Raw genomic sequence first — 25,303 nt, forward strand, 5'->3', positions numbered from 1 at the left:
GGAATAGAGAAAACTGTAAGAAGAATGTGAGTATTCCATTGTCGCATAAGACATTTTATTTTCTGGGCAGGATTTCCTGTTGACCCCAATTCACCATTTATGTCTCTTACCATCTCCTCTTTCCTGCTTTTTCTGCCTGCAATGTTGTTTCAGATTTCTTTTGCAAATTGCCAACTTCATGCATGCATGGTGCAGTTCTTTTTTCCTTCCCTCAGATGCCTCCTTTTGGCTATTGGCAGCCTTGCATAGGGCAAGGATGCCTTTTCAGAAATACTGTGTGATTCACAACTTCTTGGGGTGGAAGTCTGTGAAGAGATAAATAACTGTAAGAATGAGAATAAGTACTACTAATTGAACATGGCTGTGGTGGGTAGGTGGATTTGTATGCATAGTGGCCTCCTGAGGAAGGTGCCTTACCCTGACATGCAATCCTAGGTGCCCTTTGGCATGAAGCATCCGTGTGGTTTACAAGTTTAACGCAGAACAGGAGCTCCAAGGATCTGAAGGGCGGTAAAGCTAAATGCACATTTCCTAGTCTTCTAGGCTGAGGAGAGTATGATCTTCTTTGAGAAAGTCATAGGGTGGGTAAAATGCTACTTTGCAAGAGGTACATGCTCTTAGAGCACTGTTGTATGCTATCAGTCCAACCATGTTATAAACTATTTAGGAAAATGGACTGTATCCTATCTACCTCTGCATTATCTGTGAAACAGTGCCTTCCGTTGAAGCACAGATAGCTGTGGCTGAATGAATTGAGCAGACATTCAAATGCTTGTTGGATGTGAGGGAAAAATTAAGGAAACATTCCCTCTCCATTCCAAGTTCCCAAACTTTTCATTCGTCTGTGTTCTGTTATTTTCTCCCACTGAAAAAAAGCCTGGAAGGGACAGATGATACAAAGAAGACATTCTTGTCCATTGGCATGTGAGAAAGAAGGGCAGAGGTTAAAGAGGGAACAGGGAGTCAAGCTTTGGGGCTAAAGAGGCGTCCTCAGGCTAGTAAGGTGGATGGGGAGCTTGTGGGGAGGGACCATCAGTGTGGGGGCTGCCCTGGGAGGTCATGTCTAGTTCCACGTAAAGCCCCAGAAGTGACCTTCTGGGTCTTTACCCATGGAATTCCAGACTATACTGCAGTGAGAAGAAAGACGTCTTTTGTTCTTTGGCTAACTGTGCATTCCAGACTCTAATTTGGAAAGGCCAGATCTGTGAGTGATAACAGGGTCCATTTAAGGAAAAGGCATCTTTGTTGAAAATGGAATAGGGCAAGGGTGAAAAGGTGGGGCGAGGCAGATGTCAGTTTTGTGTATTGCAGTATTCCATTATCTAAAACAGTGCAGGCAGATAGTAAGTGCTTAATACCTAGTTGTTGAATGAATGCTTGATGACGATCTTTGAGGTATTATTTGCTATAGGAGTTTCAGTACAGGAGTATTTTAAGGAGATTTCAGAGTGCCCTTGGAAGCTGCTGGTAAAGAGGAACTCTCTAGCAAGGTGACCAGGTTAGACACAGAAAAAAATGCTTCTGGTCATGGTCACCCCTTCCCAGGCTAAAAGTACTCATTGGCACCAGGAACCCTTCCCTATATTTTAAAAAATATTATAGCCCATAATTTTGCACACTAAATTTGGCTTTGTTGACATTGGCATCAGGTAACTCAATCTCTTTTCCTTTATTTTATTTTATTTTATTTTATTTTTTTTTGAGACAGAGTCTCACTCTGTCGCCCAGGCTGGAGTGCAATGGTGCGATCTCGGCTCACTGCAACCTCCTCCTACCAGGTTCAAACAATTCTCCTGCCTCAACCTCCTGAGTAGCTGGGGTTACAGGCATGTGCCACCATGCCTGGCTAATTTTGTATTTTTAGTAGAGACGGGGTTTCACCATGTTGGTCAGCGTGGTCTCAATCTCCTGACCTTGTGATCCGCCTGCCTTGGCACTCTCAAATTGCTGGGATTATAGGTGTGAGCCACTGCACCCGGCTTGAAGCTGGGAGGCAGAGGCTGCAGTGAGCTGAGATCAATCTCTTTTTCTAAGGCATTGCACACCTACACATGTGTAACCCAGGAGGGTGGCACGGGAAATATTTCCAACCTGGAGACATCGTAGAGAGAGGAAGTGCTCCTTCAGGAGGACAAATGGAAACATCTGCTGCAGCTTCTTAGCACTCTCCTGGCTTACCTTTTCAGTTGCTCAACCCTAAATAAATTTGCTCAACCATAGACATCAGGGCACACTACGGGAACATTATGGGCATGGCATTTGGCAAGCATTTATTCACAGTTCACAAATATGGATTGAACCCCGACTGTGTGTTAGATAGTCTCCTGGATTTGTGGGCTGTGGGTATGAATAAGGCAGCCACCCTCCCTCCTTAGGGCACAAACAGAATTAACTTATTCTTCTCCAGGAGAAGTAAGCTCATGATAAGAAACCAAATTTATGAATTACTTATTTTTTTGCTAGGCTCCGTGCAAAGACACTTTGCATACCTTAATTCACTTAATACTCAGGAAAACCCTGTGAGAAAAATTTTAGAGCTGTGGAAACTCTCAGCCTTTGAGGATTTGGATAACCTGCCCAAGGCCACTTTGAATCTAATAAATGCTCCTTGGTCCAATCGAAGTTGCTTCTCACTATTACACACCCTACACTCCTATAAGATGCTAATGGAATTGATCCTGCCATGCTCTAGGTGAGGGGAAGAGCTGAAATAGCAGAGTTTAAAAATCTCTACACCAAAGTCCATCTCTGCTACTGTTTCCCACTGCTTCCTTGAATGGTTGGGTACATACTTGTCTGGGCCACATTGCTTTCTCTTTATGTGGGGCTTGTTTGGAAAGATCTTTGTTTTCTTGAGTCCCTGGTTACCATCAGTCATTTTTCATAGAAATACAAATGAATTAGCCTGATGTAAAGGAAGGATTCTTATTTTATTCTCGGAAGAAAACCTTGGAACTTAAATTCAAATTTTCTTTAAATCATTAAAAATGAATGAGATCGTTTTCATACCTCCTAAAATATATTGTTTTTCTTTTTAAGAATTTAAAGTTGATCTTATCTCACCTTATTGCATTTCTCTAAAGTAGGTTCTGGCACGAATAGCTATAAGTGCAATAAATTGAATGTTTTGACCAACTAATAAAATGGCAAAAATCACTAGCAGAAAACATATACCAAGAGAGTATTTTCTGTCTTCACTACTCTACAGATACCTCTTTCTAAAAAAATTTATTTTACAGTGGTAAGAACACTTTACATGAAATCTATCTTTAACAAATTTTTAAGTGGACAATATGGTATTGTTGACTATATGTACAGTGTCGTCTAGCAGATCCCTAGAACTTACTTATCTTGTTGAACTGAAACTTTATACCTACTGATTAGTAACTCCTCATTCTCCCTTCCTCCCAGTCCTACCATTCTAGTCTTTGATTCTATGAATTTGAATATTTTTGGATACCTCATATAAGTGCATTTATGCAATATTTGTCTTTGCGTAACTGGGTATTTCATTGATGTTGGCTCATATTGCAGAATTTCCTTCTTTTTAAAGGCTGAATAATCCTGTATGTGTGTGTGTACACCACATTTTAAAAATCTATTGATCTTTTGATACACATTTAAGTTGTTTCCATATCTTAGCTATTGTGAATAATTTTGCAGTGAAAATGGGAGTTCTGGTATCTCTTTGAGACCTTGATTTCAATTCTTCTGGATAAATACCCAAAAGTAAAGCTGGGTATGGTGGCTTATGCCTGTGATTACAGCACTTTGGGAGGCCAAGACAGGAGTATGGCTTGAGACCAGGGATTTTAGACCAATCTAGGTAATGTAGTAAGACCCTCCCTCTACCCGCCCCCCCAGAAATAAAAATTAGCTGAGAGTGGTGATGTGTACCTGTAGTCCTAGCTACTCCGGAGGCTAAGGCAGGAGGATCACTGGAGCCCAGGAAATCAAGGGATGGTGCCGCTGCCCTCCAGCTAGAGTGACAGAGCAAGAACCTATCTTAAAAAGCACAAAAAACAAGCAGCAAAAAATACCCAAAAGTGGCATTACTGAATCATATGGTAGTTGTATTTTTAATTTTTTCAGGAACTTACTGTTTTCTATAGTGGCTGTACCATTTTGCGTTCCCACCAACAGCGGGTTCCAATTTCTCTACATCCTCGCCAACACTTGTGTTTTGTATTTTTGATAATAGCCATCCTCACATGTATAAGGTGATATCTCATTGTGATTTTGATTTGTGTTTCCTTGATGATTAGTGATGTCAAACTAAAAAGCTTCTGTCCTGTAAAGGAAACAATCAACAGTGTTAAAAGGCAACCCATGGAATTTGGAGAAAATATTTGCAAACCATATGTCTGATAAGATGTGAATCCCAAAAACATATAAAGAACCCTTACAATGAAATAGCAAAAAGACTAATAACCTGATTAAAAAATGGGCTAAGGACTTGTATAGGTATGTCTCTAGAGAAGACATACAGGCTGGGTGTGGTAGCTCACACCTGTAATCCCAGCACATTGGGAGGCTGAGGCAGGCGGATCACGAGGTCAGGAGTTCAAAGAAAAGCCTGGCCAATATGGTGAAACCCCATTTCTACTAAAAATACAAAAATTAGCCAGGTGTGGTGGTGCACACCTGTTGTCCCAGCTACTGGGAGGCTGAGGCAGGAGAATCACTTGAACCTGGGAGGCGGAGGTTGCAGTGAGCCGAGATCACACCACTGCACTTCCAGCCTGGGTGACAGAGCGAGACTCTGTCTCAGAAAAAAAAAAAAAGAAAAAAATCTTTATTCCTATTCTTTAGGTGCAAAGTCACAGATACAGTGGTGCTTCATTCAAACTCAAGTTACACCTGAGTGCCTTCCTCTTGAGGGCGTGACATGCCACACTTAATATACCTCTCCAAAAACATATGGCTTGATTTAGGTATTGTTAAAATAGCTCCACTGTATACTTTGTTTCACTGGAATTAAAAAGGAAATTGTCTTGCTCACACAAAAGTGCAAGACAAACAGTTGAGTGTCTGTGTATTATTGTCAAATAGAATGGATGTAGGATGTAAGTTTTAGCTGCGACGCACTCTAGAATGCGGAATTCCCCTTGCAATTGAAAGGATATGGAGCGTCCTTTCGAGGACTGCCTCACATATTAAATATATATCTTGTTTTGTCTGGGGACTGCTACTCAGGACTCTGCCATCTGTAGTGGGTGGCAACCAAATCTCAGTCTTGAAGAATTCATCTGTTAATTTTCTTTCTTCCTCTGACTTGATGATACCATTGTGGTTACTTCTCCTCCCTCTCCAATCAATAACATCTCATTTTCCATTATTACATCTTAAGTATATTGCAATTGTTGCAAGCTGTTACATTTTCATTTTGGAAATGTGATGGTTGGAAAAAATCACCCATCTGATGATAAAGAAAAAGGAGTAGGAGTCAAGTCCTCCAAATACTGACTGTCTTTTGGATGACTTAGTTCTTAAATGGAAGAGCAACTCTACCTGCATACATTTCGCAGTGTTAGCTCACCCAGCCATACCCTTTTATAGATGAAGACCCTGGAGCTTGGGGATGAAGTCACCTGCCCATGTGGGGTGAATGTAGCTCCCAGAGCCCGGAGTCCTCATTCCACTCCACCTACTTCTTTTAAGCTTTACATTTGAAAGAATATCAGGATTTTAGAAGCAGTGTCTTATTTCTCTTTGAATATAAGGAAAGATGTGTTTGACAATTAAAATCACCCAGAATTTTCTTTTCTTTTCTTTTTTTTTTTTTTGAGACAGACTTTTGCTTTTGTTGCCCAGGCTGGGGTGCAATGGTACGATCTTGGCTCACTGCAACCTCTGCCTCCCGGGTTCAAGCGATTCTCCTGCCTCAGCCTCCTGGGTAGCTGGGATTACAGGCATGCACCAACATGCCCGGCTAATTTTGTATATTTAGTAGAGACGGGGTTTCTCCATGTTGGTCAGGCTGGTCTCTAACTCCCGATCTCAGGTGTTCCGCCTGCCTCGGCCCCTCAAAATGCTGGAATTATAGACGTGAGACACTGCGCCTGGCCTGAAATCACCCAGAATTCTGCACTGCTTTTCTTTACCCAAATGTTGGAGTGGCAGGCCTCACACAATGTCTGGAGTTGGGTGACAAATTAGTTTTAACAAATGGAAGAAATCTCCCGAAAGGTAATTTCCTGCAAGTCTCTTTGTGTTAGTGTTTTTAATGCTTTGGTTGTTCTTTAATGGAAAACACTTTTTTTGTGTGTGTGGGGTAGGGTGAGGGATGGTTCTAGCTTTTTACCAATGCATTTCAAATTTAGAAAAAATAGAATAGTTCATGTGTGAAAAGTTGTGTGGGAACCTTTCTTGGAAAGAAATTTAAATGTTTAGGAAATGTGTTCTAAATTGCAAGAAGAGTGTGGTTTAAGACTGCATGGCCTGGTGGGATTGTGCAATGTTGGGACCAGGGTACAGCTCAATCTAGTCTGGGATTACCCATGGGTGAGCCTGCCATGGGGCTACCCTCTCCATAACGGCATGGGCTCAGGGGTGTTGGTGGGAGGATGGGGATGGGTGTGCTGAACTTCCCCTTCCTCCCATCCCCACTGGCTTGTGCCCTGCGGCCAGTGGCAGGCAGTGGTGGTTCTGGCTGGTGAACACATTGGAGGAAGAGCAGAAATTCAGTACTCGGGACACATTTTTTTTAGGGAAGCGTGTCTTTGCAATTTGAGTTATAAATGCAAAATGAGAGGCCAGGTGTGGTGGCTCATGCCTGTAAAGCCAACACTTTGGGAGGCTGAGGCAGGCAGATCACCTGAGGTCGGGAGTTCGAGACCAGCCTGACCAACATGGAGAAACCCCGTCTCTACTAAAAATACAAAATTAGCTGGATGTGGTGGTACATGCCTGTAATTGCAGCTACTCGGTAGGCTGAGGCAGGAGAATTGCTTGAACTCGGGAGGTGGAGTTTGCGGTGAGCGGAGATCACGCCATTGCACTCCAGCCTGGGCAATAAGAGCAAAACTCCGTCTAAAAAAAAAAAAGGCAAAATGAGGGGCCGGGTGCGATAGCTCACACCTGTAATCCCACACTTGGGGAGGCTGAGGTGGGCGGATCATTTGAGGTCAGGAGTTTGAGACCAGCCTGACCAACATGGTGAAACCCCATCTCTACTAAAAAATTGGGCCAGGCACGGTGGCTCACGCCTGTAATCCCAGCACTATGGGAAGTGGAGGCGGGTGGATCAGGAGATCAGGAGTTCAAGACCAGCCTCTGGCCAAGATGGTGAAACCCTGTCTCTACTAAAAATACAAATATTAGCTGGGCGTGGTGGCAGGCGCCTGTAATCCCAGCTACTCGGGAGGCTGAGGCAGAGAATTGCTTGAACCCAGGAGGCGGAGCTTGCAGTGAGCTGAGATTGCACCACTGCACTCCAGCCTGGGCGACAGAGCGAGAATCTGTCTCAAAAAAAAAAAAAAAAAAAAAAAAAAGCTGGGTGTGGTGGGGGGGTGGCACCTGTAATCCCAGCTACTAGGGGAGGCTGAGGCAGGAGAATCACTTGAACCCAGGTGGTGGAGGTTGCAGTGAGCTGAGATTGTGCCACTGCACTCCAGCCTGGGCAACAGACTGACACTTCATCTCATAAAAAAAAAAAAAGATTGGAAATGAGGGTTATTTCCCTTTGCAAGGCACAATACTATACTCTTTTCACAACAAAATGACGAGGAAAAGAGTCAAACTCTATAAAATATTTAAAGAGGTTTATTCTGAGCCACGTATGAGTGACCGTGGCCCCAGGCACAATCTCAGGAGGCCTTGAAAACATGTACCCAAGGTGGTTGAGTTACAGTTTGGTTTTGTTTTAGGGAGACATAAGATATCAATCACCACATGTGGAGTATACATTGGTTCTGTCTGGAAAGGCAGCATAACTCAACGTGGGGACTTACAGGTCATAGGTGAATTCAAATATTTTCTGATTAGCAGTTGGTTGAAAGAGTTAAGTAATTATCTAAAGACCTGAAGGAGTGTTTGGGTTAAGATAAGGGGTGGTGGAGACCAAGGTTCTTATTATGAAGTCTCATAGGTGGCTGCCATCAGAGACAATAGATGGCAAGTGTTTCCTATTCAGACCTTGAAAGATGCTAGACTTAGTTAATCTCTTCACCGTTGAGAGGGTCTGGAAAGGGGAAGGACCCAGTAATGTTAGTAGAGGTTCTTTACAGATGCAGTTTCTCTCTCTCTCTCTCTCTCACACACACACACACACACACACACACACTCACACACACACACACACACCCACGCGCACACACACACACACACACCGGCTTTGTAGGAGCATTTCAAAATATGGCAAGGAAACATTTTTTGGTTATAAAATATTTTGATTTCCTTCCATATCTGTCATGTGATTTTATGCCAGAGTCAGGTTGGAAAGTAAGCCAAGTTATATAGGGTTAAGTAAAACCCATGGGATGAGATTTTATGGTTTGTAGGGTGTGACTCCCCAGGTCCTTTAGATAAGAATTTGGGCAAGAGAGGAAAAAGGTCAGAGTTTAGTTTGCAAAAGAAAAATCCTCAGGTGAAGGTTATGCCCCAAAGGAATAGATTGAACTGATTGTAGTAATGGGGCCAATTTTGTAGGCATCCATTACTTTTTTTCTCTCTCTTCTTTCCCTGCCTCCAGCTCCTTTAAGTCTATTCTCTTTTCTTGAGTCATGATTTGGCTCCGTTTCCCAGGCTAGAGTGTAGTGGTGCAACCAAGACACACTGCAGCCTCGAATTCCTGGGTGCAAGCGATCCTCCCCATTCAGCCTCCTATGTAGCTGAGACTACAGTTGTGCACTACCACACCTGGCTTCTTCACGTCTGTTCTATTAACCTATGAAGGCAAAAATTGATTTTTGCCTTCATAATATTTCTGTGTGTTTGTGTACATTTTAATATAAATGATATCAGATGCACCTGTATAAGTTTTCATATGGCTGATGTAACAAAGTAGCACAAATTTGGTGGCTTAACAGAAATGTATTCCTTCCAGTTCTGGAGGGAAGAAGTCCAAAATCAGTGTCACTGGGATGAAAAGGTGTCAGCAGAACTGTATTCCCAACAAGGGCTCTATTGAAGGATTGGTTCCTTGTGTCTTCCAGCTTCTGGTGGCTGCCAACATTCCTTGGCTTGTGGCTGCTGCACTCCAATCTTCAAGGCCAGTGTCTGTTCATCTCTCTCTGCTCCACCTTCACATTGCCTTCTCCTGTGTGCGTTCATGTCAAATCTCCCTCCCCTCTCTCATAATGACACTTGCGACTATGTTAAGGTACCATCCAGGTGACCCATGATAATTTCCCCATCCAAAGATCCTTAATTTAATCACATCTGCAAAGATCTTTTATCCAAATAAGGTAGTATTTATAGACCCCAGGGATTAGGACCTGATGCCTTTGGAGCCTCTATTCAGTCTCTTATAATACCTATTATGCAACTTGCTTTTCTTGAAGTCCACAATCTCTCTTAGAGATTTTTTTTTTCCATATTGGCTAACATAGACCTTCTTCACTCGATGTCATTGCTGTAGAGTGTACCCAGGATGGGTATTTCATATTTTGTTTTTAGTTTATTAAATTGATGAGCAATGTTTTGTTTTTATTTTTTCCATTACAGACATGTGGCAATGATTGGGGAAGGGGCTAAAGTGATACACACTGATTGATAGTATTTGTTACATCTCATGGGTACGGGATGAGTCCTTCAGAATAATTTCCTGGCCGGGCGCGGTGGCTCACGCCTGTAATCCCAGCACTTTGGGAGGCTGAGGCAGGTGGATCACCTGAGGTCAGGAGTTTGAGACCAGTCTGGCCAACATGGCAAAACCCCATCTCTACTGAAAATACAAAAATTAGCCAGGCGAGGTGGCAGATGCCTGTAATCCCAGCCTCAGGCGGCTGAGGCATGAGAATCGCTTGAACCCGGGAGGCGGAGTTTGCAGTGAGCCGAGATTGCGCCATTGCACTCCAGCCTGGTGACAGAGTGAGACTCCATCTCAAAAAAAAAAAAAAAAAAAAAAAAAATCCTGGCTACTTCCAGAGTTTTCTTGTTGTAATAACTAAACCCCTCTCCTGGTCCTTCCTGGTCATCCTGATGGCTGGTGTTGAAACGTAGGTGAAATACTCACCAGCTGTCTGGCCTTAGGCATTAACCTCTCTCTCAGTGCCTCGGGTGCTGGGCGCTTAGTCTGTAAAACAGGTATCATCATAGCATCTACCTCCTGGGTTCTCAGGGGTTTTGGAGGAGTTAATATATCTAAAGCATTCAAAACCCGCCAGGCACACAGTGGGTACTTTACTAGTGTTAGTTTTTGTTGTTATTGTTAACAGCTCCTTTCCCCACCCACGCCCAAGGAAAAACTCTCAAATAGCTGGCATGAGTATGGTCATCCACCTCAGTAGCCTGCCTGTCTGTGAGGGCCTCCTCCCTCAGTGAGCGGCTTGGTCCTACTCCCCTGGGCTCCTTTCTGCTCCCTTTCCTCCCACTGTTGAGTCTCTCTTCCCTGGGATTAATCCACCAACCATTTCGCCCTCTTCTGTGTTTTAGCTTCATCCCTACCCACTTTTCTTCTCCCTCTGTTGCTTCCTTCCATTCCTTTTTTTTTCTGGAGACAGAGTCTGGCGCTATCTTGGCTCACTGCAACCTCCGCCTCCTGGGTTCAAGCGATTCTCCTGCCTCAGCCTCCCAAGTAGCTGGGACTACAGACGTACATCACCACACCCTGCTGATTTTTGTATTTTTAGTAGAGACGGGGTTTCACCATGGTGGCCAGGCTGGTCTCGAACTCCTGACCTCAGGTGATCCTTCCGCCTCGGCCTCCCAAAGTGCTTGGATTAAAGGTGTGAGCCACTACGCCCAGCCTCCTCTCTCTTTCTTCCACCTTTTTGTTTTACCTTATTCCTCCCGCCACTCCCCCTCCCCCTTTTATTATTAAAGCAGCTTAAACAATGGGACAAAGGTCACATTCTATTGTATTTCTAGAGGGATGACACCTAGCTAGATTGTGTGACTAGAAAGACTGAAAATTTCCAACAGAAGGAATAGCAAGCAGGCTGAGAGGACCGGAAAGGTACCTAACCCTAAAGCTTGTGTAAAGTAGAGTGATAAAAACTCACAGAAACTAAGTTGCCTAGCACAGTTCAGTAGTGAAGGCAGTCTTTATGGCAGGAGGGTAAATAGAGGTATTTAAGATAAAAGTCTAAAACACTTAGATTTTGCTTAATGATGTCAAAGAAATGTTCTTAATTTTATGGAAAAACTGTTTTTTAAATCCTAGAAAATTCTACCTAATTCTTTTGGTGTGTACATGTGTATGTGGGTGTGTACAGACACACCTTCATATTTTAAAATAAATTTACTGTGAACTTCCTAGCTTTATTTTATATTTTATTTTATTTTATTTTTGAGATGGAGTTTTGCTCTTGTTGCCCAGGCTGGAGTGCAATGGCTCAATCTTGGCTAAGTGCAACCTCCGCCTCCCAGGTTCAAGTGATTCTCCTGCCTCAGCCTCCTGAGTAGCTGGGACTACAGGCATCCGCCACCATGCCCAGCTAATTTTTAAAATATTTTTAGTAGAGACAGGGTTTCACCATGTTGGCCAGGCTGGTCTCGAACTCCTGACCTCAGGTGATCCGCCCGCCTCGGCTTCCCAAAGTGCTGGGACTACAGGGGTGAGCCACCGCGTGCAGCTTATTGTTTTTATTTTTTAAGACAGAGTCTTATTCTGCTGCCCAGGCTGGAGTGCAGTGGCATGATCTCGGCTCACTGCCACCTCCGCCTCCAGGGTTCAAATCATTCTTGTGCCTCAGCCTCCCTAGTAGCTGGGACTAATTTTTGTATTTTTAGTGGAGACGGGGGTTTCACCATGTTGACCAGGCTGGTCTCGAACTCCTGACCTCAAGTGATTGACAGCCTCGGTATCTCAAAGTTGAACCTGCTAACTTTCAACAGTGTATATTGTTAATTTAGGGGATGTTTTAATTCCAGGTACTTAAATGTTCTTGTGAGACACAATGTATCATTTCCGAATAAGCCCTTTTCTTTTTTCTGATTCACTTTTCTCCAAATTTCCCAAATTTGCTAATAATAGAGGTGAGTTAAACTGGACTCTAGCATTCTGATGTGTTTGTTCAAGATCTGGTTCGCAGCTTTTGTAGTCAACTGGTTTTGTGTGACAAAGTTCTGTATGCTTATAAAAGTTTTAAAATCATTTCATAATTGGTGATGTTGTAGAAAAAAACCAGGTTCTTGTCACACAACCAGGAGAAGTTTGGCACGCAGACACTTTGAAGGGTGAGGGGGAATGGAATGGTGAAAAGGCAAAAAAAAACAAAACTGCTCAGCAGAGCGAGAGGGGTTCCAGTTAACAGGCCCTCATCTCACAGATTGAATCTCAGGTCCCCACCCAGGAACAGGAGAGGCCTGTCTCCTTCCCCCTGCAAACGGCCTGAACTTCCTGCGGCTCCACCCTATCCTCCCAGTGCACAGGCAGGTGGGCGATTACGGGGGTGGTGGGGAGGGCTCCTCCTTATCTTCGCAGGTGGGAGATTCCGGGGCGGGGCGGGGAGGGCTCCTCCTCATATTGGCGGGTGGGAGATTGGGGGGGGTGGGGGGAAGGGCTCCTCCTTATCTTCCTCCTGCATCTATCAGTGAAGACGCTGAGGTTTGCAATTGTATAATATCCAGGTTTGCAATTGTATACTGCAGTTGTATAATTGTATAATATCCAGAGTTGAAAATAAAAAAAACAAACAAAAAAAGCTACAGTAGCATTCCCTTTTTTTTTTTTTTTTTTAACTTTGAGATGGAGTTTCACTCTTGTTGCCCAGGCTGGAGTGCAATGGCACGATCTCGGCTCACTGCAACCTCTGCCTCCTGGGTTTAAGTGATTCTCCTGCCTCAGCCTCCCAAGTAGCTGGGATTACAGGAGCCTGCCACAATGCCCGGCTAATTTTTTGTATTTTTAGTAGAGATGGGGTTTCAACATGTTGGCCAGGTGGGTCTTGAACTGCTGACCTCAGGTGATCCACGCGCCTCGGCCTCCCAAAGTGCTGGGATTGCAGGCGTGAGACACCACACCTGGCATCATTCCCTTTTAAAATGTCAGCTAGGTAATAATCTTTTCTTTTCGAATCAAGTGGGGGTTTCACTAAGAAGGGTAGAGTATTATTTCTATGTGAGGCCAGGAGGCTATTGTTGGGTCCAAGAACAAATGCTTAGAGATAAGCTTGTTGGCCTCTCACGGTGTTGTGAGAGGGTTCAGAGTAGACAGACATGTGTCTTCCCCCTTTTCTGTCACCTTCCTTTCTGCCTACAATGCCCGTTTTTGATATCCAGCTGGTGAGAGTGGATAAATAATTTGTATCATAGTGTCAGCCTCCTCAGAAACCCATAAAGATTTCTTTAAGGATTTGGATCCGATATCTTTCTGAATTAGGCCCTAAATTATTATGAATGTGAACCTAGGTTATATGTCTTGCCTGTGGTATGTGTGCTGCGATACTTTGAAGCAGAATGATTTGTGGATCATTTTACCAGTCCTTTCTCTTTTTTGGTCAAATGCAGATGGCATGGAGGAAATGGAAAGTTCTAGGCATTTTTGCAACCACTACTATATAACTCTTATGGACCGGATAAATTTAGTAGACAAAGTAAGTGGTTAGTTTCTTGGACCTCGGTTTTCTGGTCTGTAAAATCAAGAGATGCATCAAAGTTTCTTTCTAGCTTTAAATTCTGTAATTCTTTCTTTGAGAATTGTGTAGCATGTATAATGTTTATGGGAAGTAAAGTTTAAGTCACTAAAAAGAGGCAGAAATCAGGTTATCACTCACAGGGCTGTTTTTTCAGCCTAGTCTCTGCCAATCCTAACCTTGTTAAAACTACAATGTGGCAAGAGATGATGTCCCATTATTATTTCTTTCACTCGAGAATGCTTCAGCTATATAGATCTATCAAAGCAGTTGTTACACTGGTGAGTTTCCCCATATCCATCAGAAGAAGAAAATCCATCACACTTTTGACTACTTTTTCCTCTCCAAGAAAATGATCTTTAAGAGAATGACATGTAATATAGACTTTACTATTCTTGAGGCATTGGAGAAACTGCATCTGAAATAAAATCAATACATGATGCAGTGGTGTATGTACATTTCAAATATTGAATGGCAAAACATTTTATCAAAGACTTTGGGACTAAATACCCGTCGCAGACTTACATAAAGTAGGATAGAATACAGTAGAAATACGAGTGTACCTCCTGTGTATATAATACCTAGTCGTGGTTCAGTTACTCCATATATCTCAACTACACTAACAGAAAGAGGTAGACTCATTAGAGGTTAAGAAAGGTAGACATTAGGGCTGGTATGTTTAGAAATTTGTTGTTCTTTTTTTTTTTTTTTTTTTTTTAGAGTTCCATCCCATAATCTCAGTTTAAGTTATAATGATGGTTACCAGGCAACTTAGAGGAACAAAAGCACAGTCTTAGCCTTCATATTTCTAGCTGAGGAAAGTAGACAAATAAAACAGAATTCTGTCTCAGTTATGCACTGAGTGTGTGACGTGTAACCTTAATCTCTTTTTTTTTTTTTTTTTTTTGAGGTGGAGTTTTGCTCCTGTCCCCCAGGCTGGAATGCAGTGGCTTGAGCTCAGCTCACTGCAACCTCCGCCTCCTGGGTTCAAGCAATTCTCCTGCCTCAGCCTCCCAAGTAGCTGGGATTACAGGCACCTGCCACCACGCCTGGCTAATTTTTGTATTTTTAGTAGAGACGGGGTTTCACCATGTTGGCCAGGCTGGTCTTGAACTTCTGACCTCAAGTGATCTGCCTGCTTTGGCCTTCCAAAGTGCTGGGATTACAGGCTTGAGCCACCGTGCCTGGCCCCAAATCTCTTAACCTTCCTGGATTTGGTCCTTGAAACCAGTAATTTTAAATTACTGGCTAAATTAATTAAAATTACTGGTTAAATTAATTAAAACAAATGGCCAATAAAGCCAAACAGACACTGAGTCTTTTGTTGGTGTAAATTCCTTTACACATTTCATAATGTCTTCTATGATATTGGTTTACTTTTGGGAATTGAAACCTTTACAGAAAACTATCAGTTTCACTAAGATTTTACCATGAAATTATATATTAGATCATCTTCATTTATTTAATAAAGTGTTAAACACAAAGTTATTTCTAATTTTATTTGGGTTTTCTATGTTTTAAAAATTAAGACTGCGTATTCTTTCCCCGACAAAATCCAGCTCTGGGATTCATTAATGTATTCGAATATTTTTTGGTTTTCTATTTACTTTTCAATATGATCTTTTTTCATTTAATATGATCTATCATTTTATGATATTCCAATGGCCTCTTTTGGGTATAAGGTGGAATCACATTCACAGGTCAGCCTGAGATCCACCGGCTGATAGCCCTGCCCTGGGGCCAGCAGACCCTTGGCCTCCTTTGTAGTTCTTTTTCTTCTTCCTTTTGGGGAAGGATGTTAGAACGGACTGGCTTTGATGTCTGTCAGGCTGTTTGCTGCTCATGGTCTCAGGGTTTACAGCCACCATCACTCTGTTGGCTTCAAAAGGGGCTACTCTGGCCAGGCACGGTGGCTCACACCTGTAATCTCAGCACTTTGGGAGGCTGAGGTGGGTGGATCACAAGGTCAAGAGATCGAGACCAACCTGACCAACATGGTGAAACCTCGTCTCTACTAAAAATACAAAAAAATTAGCTGGGCCTGGTGGCGCACGCCTGTAGTCCCAGCTACTCGGGAAACTGAGGCAGGAGAATCGCTTGAACCTGGGAGGTGGAGGTTGCGGTGAGCCAAGATTGTGCCACTGCACTCCGGCCTGGTGACAGAGCGAGACTCCATCTCAAAAAACAAAAAACAAAAACAAAATACACACACACGCGCGCGCGCGCACACACACACACACACACACACACAAACAAAGGGGCTACTGTCCCGTTTATCACTGTAGTCCAAGTTTGGACACAGACCCTTCTCATAGTTCCTCAACGATTTCTAAGATAAAGCTATAATTTTGGTGTTTTTTGAGACGCAGTCTAGCTCTGTCACCCAGGCTGAGGGGCAGTGGAGTGATCATAGCTCACTGTAGCCTCTTCCTCCTGGGCTCAAGCCACCCTCCTGCCTCAGCCTCCCTAGTAGCTGCAACTACAGGTGCACTCCATCATGCCAGGCTATTTTTTTTTCTTTCATTTTTTTGCAAAGACTGGGTTTCCCTATGTTGCCCAGGGTAAGTTATAGCATTTAACATAGCTTTATTAAAGGTATAGGGTAACAGGAGAGAATTATAGCATACAGAGTAACTTGTGACCAGATGTGAGATGATTATTTTCGGAATTTATAGGCCCAGGCCATCTGCATGGCTTTAATTTTGGATTGATCTGCTCCCAGGCTCTGCCTGCTTTCCATGGAGGTGAAAGTCAGTATTCCCCACCATGTCTAGACTCCTGAGAATCCAGACTAAAGTCTCACTTGTCTCGGAGAAAAAAAGTAGAGTTTCTCCTTCAGTCTAAGGCCTTTTTTTTCCTTTCAGGATCTACCGCTTTTCAGGATGACTAATGGAAAGAATACTCATTTCCTTCAAAGATAATTTCACAGTTTAGGAGTGTTATTAGCTTAATTCATAGCCCTAGCGAGACCCCTATGTAATACCATGGTCCGTAAGTTTTTAGCTTTGAGTACACATTCTCAAAGTACACAGGCTTTGAGTGATTCATGAAACCCGTGAAGCTGTGTGCAGATTTCTGGCCACATGCCTTTTTCTCGGGAGCAGATCCATCGCCCTCATCAGATTATTAAAGTGGTCTAGCATCTCCCCAGAAGATTAAGAACCACTTAAGTAGGTCCAGCAACCGGACATTGGTTCAAGTGTGGATTAGTCACGTAGAGCATCAGGGGTTTCTTCCAGGTAGGGCTTCACTTAGAGTCCCTCCTCCATCAGCAAATATAGATGGGTTTTCACATCTTCTCTCCATACATTTATCTCTGCTTCTGATCCACAAATAAGGGCTGAAATGCAGGTATCTCCAGAGTGGTTTGTAGGAACCATATGGTCCAAATCCATTCTTGGACAAGAAGCATTTCTCCAGAGTTAACAGAGTCTGCAGAGATGTAATTTTGCCTAGGCTTTACAGCTGTGGTCTTGTAACAATCTTTATTTCATAAGCTCTTTGCATAATTAAACTGCCTATTCGGCCAGTCTTCCTAGGATGAAGAAATTGTCTCTACAAAGTAAGTAGTATTCAGTTTCTACAAAGAGATAGTCTTTTGCCAAAGGATATCCACCTCACTGTGGTTTGAAATGTACTATTAGGATTTTAGAGATCTTAAAGCCAAGATTTAGCTAGGTCTAAATTTTTTTTATTTTTTATTTTACTTATTTAAGTATTTATTTTGAGATGGAGTATCGCTCTATCGCCCAGACTCACTGCAACCTCCACCTCTTGGGTTCAAGCGATTCTTCTGCCTCAGCCTCCCGAGTAGCTGGGATTACAGGCGCACACCACCACACCCGGCTAATTGTTTTCTAGTAGAGACAGAGTTTCACCATGTTGGCCAGGCTGATCTCGAGCTCCTGACCTCAGGTGATCCACCCGCCTCTGCCTCCCAGAGTGCTGGGATTACAGGCGTGAGCCACCTCACCCAACCCTAAGTCTAAATTCTAATAATCACCTATACTCCTTTCTCTCAGCAGCCTTTGCCAGATGGAAACTTCTCTGAGGTACCTGCCCCAGGACTTGGAGTCTAGGGGAGGGATGATGGCAATGAAAGGTTTCTTTTCTCCTGTCACATCTTGCTCCAGACGTCATCTTGTCTCCTGTTACACTTGGATCTCAGGCATCTATCCTGGCTTGATGTTGGAGTCCCCCAGGTGCCTCATAGTCCCCTGGACACTGGCAGGGTCACCTTTCTTTTCTGAAATTGCAGGGCAGCTTGATGTACATTGTAATGAACCCAATTTATGATGCCTGGCAATGCATTTACTAAGTGCCATTTATCTTTTTGTGTGTGGAACGCATTCAGTCTTCTAAGCAATGCCTGGATGTTCATTCATGTCTGGACTTCAGGTTAGGCATGAGGGTGAGGTAAAGTCATTTGCAACAGGGTTGCAGCTTTCGAAATTGGGGACGTGACTGGGCGCGGTGGCTCACGCCTGTAATCCCAACACTTTGGGAGGCTGAGGTGGGAGGATCACCTGAGGTCAGGAGTTCGAGACCAGCCTGGTCAGTGTGGTGAAACCCTGTCTCTACTAAAAATACAAAAAAATTAGCTGGGTGTGGTGGTGGGCGCCTGTAATCCCAGATACTCGAGAAGCCGAGGCAGGAGAATCGCTTGAACCCGGGAGGCGGAGGTTGCAGTGAGCTGAGATCGGGCCACTGCACTCCAGTCTGGGTGACAGAGTGAGACTCCTGTCTCGATCTCTTGACCTTGTGATCTGCGTGCCTCGGCCTCCCAAGTGTTGGGATTACAGGCGTAAGCCACTGTGCTCGGCGAGACGCTTTCTCAAAAAAAAAAAAAAAAAAAAAAGAACAACAAAAAAAACCAAAAGGCCAGGTGCCATGGCTCACGCCTGTAATCCCAGCACTTTGGGAGGCCGAGGCGGGAGGATCACGAGGTCAGGAGATCGAGACCATCCTGGCTAACAGGGTGAAACCCCGTCTCTACTAAAAAAAAATAGAAAAAAATTAGCCGGGCGTAGTGGCTGGCGCCTGTAGTCCCAGCTACTTGGGAGGCTGAGGCAGGAGAATGGCGTGAACCCGGGGGGCGGAGCTTGCAGTGAGCCGAAATCGCGCCACTGCACTCCAGCCTGGGTGACAGAGAGAGACTCCATCTCAAAAAAAAAAAAGAAAGAAAGAAAGAAAAAAAAAAACTGGGGACCAAGGCAAATAGTCTTGAGGCCTACTAACATAAAAGAATAATCAGAGTCTTGTGTAGTGATGCCTGCCTTTACTCCCAGCTACTAGGGAGGCTGAGGTGGGAGAATTGCTTGAGCCCAGGAGTTTGAGGCTACAGCGTGAATATAATCGCCACTGCCCTCCGGCCTGGGCAATACTAATGAGACCTTGTCTTTAAAAAAAATGTTCAAGAAGGGCTTTTGACTGGGTCTCTTTTTCTGCCTCTGCTGTCCATGTCTCAGCATAATGTTTTAGTTTGAAATGGGATTGCTCTTTTTTTTTTTTGCCTTCATCAACTGTTTTTCTATCTCGTGTGGTTTTCCTTGTTAGAGGTGGATGCTGGGGCTTTGAAACCAGTCTGCTGAGTGGTTTCTAATATTACTGTTAGGCATGGGAAAAGGAAATCTGAGGGATGTGAATTTGGATCACTGACCTGGCAGGTTGTCAGTTTTCTCAGGGTGACGTAGTTTCTTGCTTAGGTGCCATCAGCGAAGGTTAAGAAAGTCCTCTCACTTCCATCCCTCATGAAGGAACTCAGGAGGTGATTACAAAACAGTGTTGCTGAATCTCACCGCAATTAGTGCAAGGGTAGAACATGTCTCCAGGTTATGATCATGGCTCCTTCCTCTCTTTGCTCTCCATGATCAGATTTCCCCCTCTATTGCTTTGTTTTGATGGGTATTTTACAGGAACCCGGGAGAGAACAGTCTCAGGATATGTACTATGGTACCATTTCACCTCCAATTTAGAATATTTTAATAAGTGATGATTTTACAGATTTGCAACTTGTGATCATTTATTCATTGATAGAGAATGCTAGCCAATTAAAAACAGCAACTTTCCTAGTGTCTTAGAGTTTGAAATTTCACGTGAAGGAAATATAAAATTAGGAAGTATCTAATAAATAGTTGAAGGTCTTTTAGTTTGACATCAACTTTTAAGTGTATCAATTATTTTATTGTAGAGGATTTGCTCATCCTTTTGTGTACTATTAATATTAAATATCCCACTTTGGACTAGATGAAAATAATTATTTTACAACATTATTAATACCTTAGTTTAAAACATAGAGTATGTAAAGAAATGTGTGATGATAAACCATTTTGTAATTTATTTATTTATTTAATTTTTGAGGCAGAGTTTCGCTCTTGTTGCCTAGGCTGGAGTGCAATGGCACGATCTAGGCTCACCGCAACCTCTGCCTCCAGGGTTCAAGCGATTCTCCTGCCTCAGCCTCCTGAGTACCTGGGATTACGGGCATGCGCCACCACGCCTGGCTAATTTTTGTATTTTTAATAGAAACGGGGTTTCTCCATGTTGGTCAGGCTGGTCTCGAACTCCTGACCTCAGGTGATCCATCCACCTCGGCCTCCCAAAGTTCTGGGATTACAGGCATGAGCCACCGTGCTGGGCCCCGTTTTGTAATTTAGACCTTCACTAAGTTATACTGTCTTCCCTCACCCGATTGCCCTGAACTAGTACCATTGTAATCTCTGTTCCAACCGTAGAGACAGTTTGCAGAATTTTCAGGGCTGAGCCGCAGTTCTGGCCCAGGTTCCTGTGGATGCTGAGGTTTCCGCTGACTTCCAAGATAGCACGGAGGTGGGGGCGTTGTGTCCTATGCTGCGTTCAAAAGCTGAGCTTCCGTTGCCTTAGCATTTCGCTAATGGCAGCTGTGCTGTGTGTCTTTATTGCAGGTGCTTTTTCCTGATATTTGTTTGAGCTGTTGGTGTTCAGCCTTGGTCATTTAGATTCTTCTTATCTCCCTGTTATCATGGTGTTTAGTTTAGTGTGTGTTTTTTTGTTTTGTTTTTGTTTTTTGTTTTTGTTTTTTTTGAGATGGAGTCTCACTCTGTCATCCAGGCTGGAGTGCAACCTCAGCTCACTGCAACCTCTGCCTTTTGGCTTCAAGTGATTCTTCTGCCTCAGCCTCCTAAGTAGCTGGGTCTACAGGTGTGCACCACTATACCCGGCTAACTTTAGTATTTTTAGTAGAGATGGGGTTTCGCCATGTTGGCCAGGCTGGTCTTGAACTTCTGACCTCAAGTGATTCACCCACTTCAGCCTCCCAAAGTGCTGGGATTACAGGTGTGAGCCACCACGCCCACCCCTCTTTTTTTTCTTTTTCAAATATTCTTTCTTTTCCTCATAGCTGCACTTTGTAATGCATAGGGTTAATAAATTGTTATTAGATCTCCCTGGCCAAGCTTAGAATAGAGCAAAGAGTCACTGAGAGCTAGATGTGTAGACAGGGGCCTTGAAAGTTTTGGTGATTTGCTCAAGGTAACCCAGCGGGTGGGTGGTAACAGAGCTGAGACTGCTGGGAGCTCCTTTTCAGTGATGCTTAACCATGTCTCCCTTCTGCTGCCTGTAGCTGTTTCTGTGTCTGGACTTGTAATCATAGGTGGATTCATATGACACCTCTCTAACTGCACCAAGAACAGGAATGTCCACCCTCCTTGAAGGATATGAGTTCTAATGTGGATTCTTGGTCTTCTTTGGGGGCTCTTCTTATGTTTAATGCACTTGTTGCAGCATATACTGAGAGTCTGTGAAATGTTTTCAGATGTAAACTATTGAATCATTTCAAGTATTTGTATTCATTAGTACTCATAGCACAAATGCCATTCCTGTCCCTTAAAGTGTGCAAAGCATGGGTGTTTGAGGGCTTGGCAACCAACGTGTGGGCACCTCTATTTTGAAATCGGTTTTGTTTGCAATTAACAAAGGTTAACAAAAAAGTCCTTTTGGGAAGTTTGGCCGAGGTCCTAGAATTTGTACATACCTTTGCAATGTGCTCATACTCTGTGGCACATCTAGGATCCTCAGCCCCTTGTTCTTCGCTTTTTCAGTTGACCAAGTTAAATATTAAAGGAAGAGGATTTCTTTCTTGCTACCAGGGGATTTTATCATGGTAAAAGGCTTTTAAATAATTTTTTAAAGTTGTGATAAAATACACATAACATAAAATTTGCCATTCGAACCATTTTTAAGCATACGGTTCAGTGGTGTTAAGTATATTCACATCATTGTGCAACCATCACCACCATCCATCTCCAGAACCCTTTTCATCTTGCAAGACTGCAACTGGGCGTGGCAAAATATTTTGTATGTACAAATAAATCTTTAAAGCTGAAACAGGCCAGGCACGGTGGCTCACGCCTGTAATCCCAGCTCTTTGGGAGACTGAGGCAGGTGGATCACGAGGTCAGGAGTTCGAGAGCAGCCTGGCCAATATGGTGAAACCCCGTCTCTACTAAAAATACAGAAATTAGCTGGGCGTGGTGGCATGCGCCTGTAGTCCCAGCTGCTCCGCAGCCTGAGGCAGGAGAATCGCTTGAACTTGGGAGGCGGAGGTTGCAGTGAGCCGAGATCACATCACTGCACTCCAGCCTGGGCTACAGAGTGAGACTCCATCAAAAAAAAAAAAAGGCTGAAACAATAAAGTTCTTATGGTAGAAGGTGCAGTAGTGACATATCTCTAATTCAATTTATATTTTCTGTTTCTTTAACATTTCAACATCTTCAAGTAACATTTATATAGTGTTTTCTTATATTCTCATTGAAGATTCAAAACTCATGTGGGATAGGCATTAATATTCCCATTTTATAAATGAGGAATTTGAAGTAGTAACAGAAAAAAGGTAATGAACAAATCAGGACTCCAGCTTAGTGCTGTGGGCTCTAAATCCTTTTCTGTCTCCATTCTACTGTGCTTCAAAAGGCTGTGACTAATGTTTTCTTTATCTATCTATCTACCTAGCTAGCTGGCTGGCTGGCTATTTAGCTAGCGATCTCTTTATTTTGTGGGGATGGAGCAGGCATTGAGGGAGGCTTTCTGGAGTTTTGTTTTAAATTCTGGGTCTTGCCCTGACAACAGACAGTTGTGTTCATAACCTTGGGCATCTCATCGGATCAGGGATTATGGTGCTTTGCCTAAACACTTAGTAGATGCAGCAGCTGTCTATTCAAATACTACTTTAAAAAATGCCTGGAATTGTATTTAAATTGCTTCAATTTTTCACTAATTAAATTGTAGATTGTTTCTCCTGGGGATTTTGCACTAGGCCGAGTTTCCTCAATTGTTGGTGTTGGACAATGACAAAATAAATCTTTTGCATTGTAGCTTAGTAAAAAATCCTGCTGAATGGGCTAAATAAGTCCACAGTCATCCCATAAGAGACTTATTTTTTAAAAAAACAATTTTTTTTTTTTTTGGTAAGACCAGGCATGGACAGATATTGGGCTTTTGTTTGTTTTTATTTCTGTACTTTGATTCTGGTGCTTAAAATACCTGGAGGGGTCACAGACACAACGGAGGCCCATGTCTTCTATTGAATGTGTCAGCTTCCTTGGTCTGCATGGGTTTTACCAAGAACTGTACAATGGAATTCAAATATTTTAAAACCACATGTGTGTTTCTCACATGGCTGCTACAGTTTAAATCTTTTGTCAGCCTGTTCAAGGGGTTAGATGTAGCAACCAGTTTGCCCTAGGACTTTCTCTAGAGTCCTTATAAATGGTCATCTTGCTATAGCATTTACAAAGCATTTCTCTATGTGCTGTTTTCATTCACAGAGAGGAGGAGAAAACAAAATTGGGAAAAGGAAAGAACTTAGAAGGGCTCAGTGTCCCTGCAGAGCAGGAGCTTGTAACAATATGCCCTTGATATTTTTAAACAAAAATGCTTGCTTGCTCTTAAAATGCAAATTGTTTCCATTCCCCTAAAAAAAATGCACAATTTCATGCTAATGTTCACCTCTCTATCCACAGATAATTAAGACTTTGCTCTCAGAATAAATAAGTACCTAACACTTACGAGCACTGGCTTTGGGGCAGCCAGTGTCTATGCTAAACCTTTCACATGCACGAACCTATTTAATACTCACAACGTAGTGAGGAAGGTGGTATTCTCCCCATTTTACAGACAGGAAAAAGAAGTTCAGGGAGGGGGTTAAGAGACCTGCTCAGATGTCTCACTGATAATAAGTGGCAGATCTGGGATTGGGTCCTTTCTGTGATATAAGTGCTCAGGGTTTTTAAAAAGCAACAGGGTTTTTTTTAAGGGTTGTTGCTGATATTAACAATTTTCAGATATGAGAACCAATGTGGAAGCAACTCAGCATATGGATGTTATAGCCAATCTCAGATAAAATGTAAGAGGCAAGTTCTGCTCAACAATGTGCTAACATCGGCAGAGCTGAAGTGGGGAGCTGGAGAGGTACCAAAATATTGGATAGGAAACCGAATGCTTTTTCAAATCAAGTACCTCTGAGTGACCCTAGACAGTTGGTGAGAAAGAGTTTGTCACCAACATAAATAATTGGAAAGAAGTGTTAGATGCGTTTGAAGCAACCCAGAGATTCCCTTGTGAAGCTGTTGAGAAGAGACTAGAGTGTGAAGAAAAGAAGCTTGCTTGGTGTCCAAGATAAAATAAGGGATGGATCTTAGCACTACAGATGGAAACTACAGCAGCAAATAACAGAACCAGAAGAGATACTTTTCTATCTGGATTTATGCAGAAAGGATGTCAGGTAACTACTGATGAAAGCAAATAAATCCCCAGTGGCTATAGTATCAGATAAAAATGCAGGACACATTTAAAATGGGCTCTCCACATACAAATTCCTCTTTTGAGACAACCTGTACCATATAAAATTTTATTTTATTTTATTTTATTTATTTTTTGAGACAGAGTTTCACTCTTGTGGCCCAGGCTGGAGTGCAGTGGCGCTATCTCGGCTCACCACAACCTCTGCCTCCCGGGTTCAAGTGATTCTCCTGCCTCAGCCTCCCGAGTAGCTGGGATTACAGGCATGCGCCACCATGGCCGGCTAATTTTGTATTTTTAGTAGAGACGAGGTTTCTCCATGTTGGTCAGGCTGGTCTCAAACTCCTGACCTCAGGTGATCCGCCCCCCTTGGCCTCCCAAAGTGTTGGCATTACAGGCGTGAGCCACCGCGCCCAGCTACCATATAAATTACATTGTAGGTAAAGGTCTGTGGTAGCCTTATATATTTAATTCATTTAAAACAAACCCAAGTACGTCTTTCCACAGACTCTCACACCACATTATTATTCAGCATACATTCTCCTTATTAATTTTTGGAATTAAGTATAGTTATTATGTTCTTAAAATTGTTTCCTGGCTGGCCGCGGTGGCTCACGCCTGTAATCTCAGCACTTTGGGAGGCCGAGGCGGGTGGATCACTTGAGGTCAGGAGTTTGAGATCAGCCTGTTCAACACGGTGAAACCTTGTCTCTACTAAAAATACAAAAATTAGCTGGGCGTAGTGGTGGGTGCCTTTAATCCCAGCTACTTGGGAGGCTGAGGCAGG

General features: G+C 43.1%; 1 long non-coding RNA gene across 1 annotated transcript in view, besides 1 other annotated feature; it reads left to right on the forward strand.

The window, feature by feature from the left end:
- Window positions 1-25,303, forward strand: part of CASC15 (cancer susceptibility 15) — a 529,408-nt gene that overhangs the window by 43,775 nt on the left and 460,330 nt on the right. The window lies entirely within an intron of this gene.
- Window positions 10,667-11,166: an enhancer, noted in NCBI's record as "H3K27ac hESC enhancer chr6:21721085-21721584 (GRCh37/hg19 assembly coordinates)". NCBI's record gives its function as "activates a minimal SCP1, AML or CMV promoter by ChIP-STARR-seq in naive H9 embryonic stem cells {active_cell/tissue: H9 hESC(naive)}" and the evidence as "EXISTENCE:reporter gene assay evidence [ECO:0000049][PMID:30033119]".

This window comes from Homo sapiens, chromosome 6, assembly GCF_000001405.40.
Source record: "Homo sapiens chromosome 6, GRCh38.p14 Primary Assembly".
Lineage (NCBI taxonomy): Eukaryota > Metazoa > Chordata > Mammalia > Primates > Hominidae > Homo > Homo sapiens.